At 39.4% G+C, this 6004-nt stretch overlaps 1 protein-coding gene across 1 annotated transcript in view; it reads left to right on the top strand.

Annotated features, from left to right (window-relative positions):
- Positions 1-3781, top strand: part of KLB (klotho beta) — a 44604-nt gene extending 40823 nt beyond the window's left edge. Inside the window, exon 5 of the mRNA NM_175737.4 lies at positions 549-3781. Coding sequence (NP_783864.1) covers positions 549-934 — 386 coding nt within the window. The 3' untranslated portion in view covers positions 935-3781. The remainder of the gene's footprint in view (positions 1-548) is intronic.

A 6004-nucleotide genomic window follows, 5' to 3' on the forward strand; every position in this document is an offset into this window, starting at 1 on the left:
TGGGTTACTTATTTTCACCATGCTTGCTAGGCTTTAAAAAAATGGTTGTGGGTAAACAGGTGTATAAATTTATGGGATGCATGAAATGTTTCGATACAAGCATGCAATGTGAAATAACCACATCATGGTAGCTTAAGCGAGCGACAGTGAGTGAGTGGGTAAAACCAACTGTGATTCCTGGGCTGCACCAAGAGCACATCTGAGGTTCACAATCAGGCCAAATAGGCAACGTTTTTCTGCTTGTGACCCTTTAAACAAAAGTGACAACCTTCATTGCTCTGCTCCTTAAATTTGCTTTTTCCTCCAAGAGTTTTTGGATTATTTATGGATCAAGTTTCACTACAAATTTTTCAGACTTAAATTATACATATTTTCACCTTCTCCTTTACATAGATCATAAAAGAATAAATGTCAAAAAAAACCCTCTAATAAAAATCACTACCTTTATTATGGGCATAATTTTAGCTTGTTTCAATGAAAACTAAATTCTTCCTCAAAGATACTTCATAGTCCATTTGTGATTAATGTTAATTTCTTATCTTTTTCAGCATACCTGATTGATAAAGTCAGAATCAAAGGCTATTATGCATTCAAACTGGCTGAAGAGAAATCTAAACCCAGATTTGGATTCTTCACATCTGATTTTAAAGCTAAATCCTCAATACAATTTTACAACAAAGTGATCAGCAGCAGGGGCTTCCCTTTTGAGAACAGTAGTTCTAGATGCAGTCAGACCCAAGAAAATACAGAGTGCACTGTCTGCTTATTCCTTGTGCAGAAGAAACCACTGATATTCCTGGGTTGTTGCTTCTTCTCCACCCTGGTTCTACTCTTATCAATTGCCATTTTTCAAAGGCAGAAGAGAAGAAAGTTTTGGAAAGCAAAAAACTTACAACACATACCATTAAAGAAAGGCAAGAGAGTTGTTAGCTAAACTGATCTGTCTGCATGATAGACAGTTTAAAAATTCATCCCAGTTCCATATGCTGGTAACTTACAGGAGATATACCTGTATTATAGAAAGACAATCTGAGATACAGCTGTAACCAAGGTGATGACAATTGTCTCTGCTGTGTGGTTCAAAGAACATTCCCTTAGGTGTTGACATCAGTGAACTCAGTTCTTGGATGTAAACATAAAGGCTTCATCCTGACAGTAAGCTATGAGGATTACATGCTACATTGCTTCTTAAAGTTTCATCAACTGTATTCCATCATTCTGCTTTAGCTTTCATCTCTACCAATAGCTACTTGTGGTACAATAAATTATTTTTAAGAAGTAAAACTCTGGGGCTGGACGCTGTGGCTCACACCTGTAATCTCAGCACTTTGGGAGGCCGAGGCGGGGAGATCACCTGAGGTGAGGAGTTCGAGACCAGCCTGGCCAACATGGTGAAACCATGTCTCTACTAAAAATACAAAAAATTAGCCAGGCGTGGTGACAGTGGCACCTGTAATCCCAGCTACTTGGGAGGCTGAGGCAGAAGTTTGAACCCAGGAAACAGGTTACAGTAGGCCAAAATTGCGCCACTGCACTCCAGCCTAGGCGACAACAGCAAGACTGTGTCCAAAAAAAAAAAAAAAAGCAAAAGCAAAACTTTGTTTTGTTAGACTCTACAGCAGAGATTTAACACCCTTCTTTAAACTGGGTAGTCAGTGATAGATAATATATATTCTGTCACTTCTAATAAGGTGCCTTCTCCTTTAGGTCAGGGTGGTTCTAAAATGGAAAGAAAACACAATAGGGTAAGTAGTGCTTGTCTAAGCCAGTTACAACACAGACTCTTAAAGAGGATCAAGCCCTTCATTTTTCTAACAACAAAAAATCACCTATAGAATATCTAATTTGTGATCTTTTACTAGATCTGATTTTTTAAAATAATGTAATTTCCGGCCAGGCACGGTGGCACCGCCTGTAATCCCAGCACTTTGGGAGGCCAAGGCAGGTGGATCACCTGAGGTTAGGAGTTCGAGACTAGCCTGGCCAACATGGCAAAACCCCATCTCTACTAAAAATACAAAAGTTAGCCGGGCATGGTGGTGGGCACCTGTAATCCCAGCTACTCAGGAGGCCGAGGCAGGAGAATCGCTTGAACCCGAGAGGCAGAGGTTGCAATGAGCCAAGATCGTGCCATTGCACTCCAGCCTGGGGGACAGGGCAAGACTGTCTCTCAAAATAAAAAAAAATAATAAAAATAAAAATAAAAGTAATTTCCAAAACCTCATCTCATGGAAAGATCACAGGATGAAGGAAAGCTAGACTCAACTCTGTGAATAGAAGTTGCTATACTGTAAGTAAAGCAACAATTCAGAATACTGAATGAGTTTAAATTGTTTTATATAGCACCCTTTTGGGCTAGGGTTAATTACTAGATCTGACTTGGATAATTTGACACTTTGGGAAATGAACTCTGTTCTTGAGACTTGTTCAGTGTATTTTAAACATCTGAGGAAGAAAACTTAAATATGCACCTATTTATACCTATTCTTTCTTTAGGTCAACATTTAACACCCACTGCATACATTAATTTGTCCTTGTCTGCTCACTCCAGCAATTTAGACCTTAACAGTCACAAGAGACGTTCTTCTGTTACAAAGCCTTAGTAAATTAAGGCAGTTTTGATTATATTCTAGGTCCACCTATGTCTGAAGCTAAATTCAGTATCTAACTGCTAATGAACAAGTTTCCAAAATACTGTAAAAATACAATTAGTCAATTTGAGTAAATGCAAATATGATGAGAAATCAATTTGCTATTTGGCCTGGCAAATGGGAACAGTAAAATTCTGCTTTACTCTTCTCTAGTCTCCTTGCCCCAGCTGCACCCACTACCCCAAAGTTGGCAGTTTTGAGGTATGATTTTCAAGGAATTTTTTTAGTATTAACATCTCCCTCTGAGAACTATGTACCTAAGGTCACGCATACAACTAGTCAATTCTGTTTTTATTACTCTAACTATGTAGAAACAGTAAGTCACTTAAAACAATCACTTGGCTGGGTTTTTTCCCCTTTGTGCCACATTGATTCACCCTGACCCAAGAACTCCAGGGAAAATTCTTTAATGTCAACTGGGCAACTCATTAACCTCTCTTTAACATCAAGGGCTTGGGAAAAAAAAAAAAAAGGTTAGCCACAGGAATAACAAAAACCTGGAATTTATCTTTCAGGTTTTGCTTTCTCTTTCTCACTTTGTTTAAAGTATCTCGTACTCACAGTTCACAAATTAACCTTCACTGTCTCTTTCACATTAAGAGCTTATGCTTAAAGCATGCCCCCCTTTTCTAACTTGCTGGTTTACCATAAACTCCCCTAAGTAATAAAATTCCTAACCCAGTACTGAGAGTCCTCCTTCTCTGCCACTTGGGCATTATTTTACTAGTTTTTAAGCCATCATCGCACAAGAATCCAAAAACCCTTAAATTTTTTAACCACTGGCAAATATGTACAGCAAATTAGGTTAAGCATTTAATCTGGCTCATGCTCTATCATACTAAATATTCAGGTTTATCATAAACTCCTTAAAAACCATCAAAGGTCAACCAGAAACTGATAACTCTTGAAAGGAGCAAACAGGTAAGATCTTTGGAGTTTAAGCTTTTCTGAGATGTGTTGTGAAAAATCTAACGTGTTTATCGTATATTCAATGTAACAACCTGGAGAATCACAACTATATTTAAAGAGCCTCTGGAAAATGAGGCCAGTACAGTGTGACTACATGTTTAATTTTCAATGTAATTTATTCCAAATAAACTGGTTCATGCTGACCACTTGTATTCAACTAACAACCTGGTCAATTTTAAGAACTGTTGAATGTGAATGGGTTTGGCATTGTAAATGGGCTCTGCCCCAAGACTGCCTCCCCTGAATCCCTTTCTGCCTAGTTGTGCACCAACTTGGTATGTTACTTCTGGGTATATTTTCTCAAAAAATGTGGCTCAGGTGTGGTGGCTCACACCTGTAACCCCAGCACTTCGGGAGGCCAAGGTGGGCGGATTGCTTGATTCCAGGAGTTTGAGACCAGCTTGGGCAACGTGGCAAAACCCTCTCTACAAAAAACTAGCCAGGCATGGTGGCACGTATTTGTGGTCCCAGCTACACAGAAGGCTGAGGTGGGAGGACTGCTTGAGCCTGGGAGACAGAGGTTGCAGTGAACCAAGATCACGCCACTGCACTCCAACCTGGGTGACAGAGACCCCGTCTCAAAAATATGTGGACACCTACATCTAAAAATTGCAAAAATAGTGCACAAGTGCTTATCCATAGTAGACACAGAAGACAATAATTAAGTTTTCCCTGGAGAACTAGGCTCATTTGTTATACCCAAGTTATTAAAAAAAAAAAATCACTGTTTAGCTACAGTCTCTTAAGTTACCTTATGAAGGTCAGACCCAGCATGCCAGTCCATTTCATGCTCAAAGAAATCTCATTTACTCCCACAGCAGCTACTCCCCATAAGCTGATCCTCTCATGAGCATCTCCACCCCACTAGAATATTGCCACTTGGAAATTTCTCCCACAAGCCTCATACTGTTTTGAAATCCTGTCAATACCTTCCCAAAATCTCTCTCTTCCAGTCCCACTGCTATTACTGAGTTCCTTGGCAATCCAGGAAACAGCTACATGCCATTGTTCTGGTAGCTGGAATACACCAGAGTACAAAATTACCTCCTTGTGAAGGTTACATCCTAGCAGAAAAAAACACATCATCAATACACAACCAATTGTAAATATTAAAATTACAAATGCTATTGACAAAAACAAGTGGAGAAGGGTAACGAGACAGTAGGACAAGCTTAAGGAGCCGGTCTACTATTTTTAATACGGTGGTCAAGGCAGGATTCACTGAATAGACCTGAAGGTAAGTGAAATTAGCCACACAGCTCAGCTGAGAGCATTCCAAAGGGAAAACGACAACTTAAATGCTTAATGACAGAGTGCTTGGTATAGAGGATTAGCCAGGTCAATTCAGCTATAGCGCAGAAGTCAGAAAAATTGAGTTAAAAACGGCTGCAGGTACAATGGGGAGGCTATTTTAAAAAGAAAAAAGGGAAAAAAAACCTGTTGCAGGATTTGAAACAGTGCTATAATCCATTTCAAAATCAGTACCCTGGCTGATGCTGAAAATAGACAGGAGAGGAAGATGACCAGTTGACTGTCACAATAATCCAGGTGAACTTCGCAGGTCTTTGTTTCATTTTCTACATTGTAAAAAATTTGTATCTAATGGACCCATATTTCCCAACCTTTCGAGGATGTGATCTTACTTCACGTTGATCCCATTCATCGCCTACAACCCCATCCGTTATTTCTGAGCAAATCCGAGATTTATGATTTCCTCCAAATTTCTTAAAAACCTAACCAAATAGTCATCAAACAACAAGACTCCTTAATGTATGTTCAATTAGTGTACTTGAATCCAGATCTAAGACGTATAGGGCATGGTGACCCATGCCTGTAGTTCCAGCCCTCTGGGAGGCCAAAGAGGAACACTTAAGGCCAGGAGTTCAAGACCAGCCTGGGAAACATGAGACCCCATCCATACTTTAAAAAAAAAAAAAAAAAGATGTGACGGTGCCTGCCTGTAGTCCTTGCTACTAAGGAGGCTGAAGCAGGTAGGATTATTGCTTGAGTCCAGTAGGTTGAAGTTACAGAGCTATGACTATGGCACTGTATTCCAGCCTGGGCAACTGAGTAAGACATTGTAAGATCCAAGATAACATATATGCCAACTGATCGTGACCTCTGTCCTTATATTTACTTTTTCTGATAAAGTACCTGACCATACCTTACAATGAAGGTACTTAGTACGTTTTCCTGACGCATTTGATCAAGGATGAATGTTAAATTTTGCCTTAGAAATTGCAGTTTCCATCAAATGAGATGTAGAATTCACAAAGGTTTGGGGGTCACCATGTTGACCTAAGTCTAGTTATGGTGGCCTTGTACCATATTTAAAGTATAACACATGGAATTAAGAGATTATGGAAGGGTTATCAATTTTTAAA

This window comes from Homo sapiens, chromosome 4 (assembly GCF_000001405.40).
Source record: "Homo sapiens chromosome 4, GRCh38.p14 Primary Assembly".
Lineage (NCBI taxonomy): Eukaryota > Metazoa > Chordata > Mammalia > Primates > Hominidae > Homo > Homo sapiens.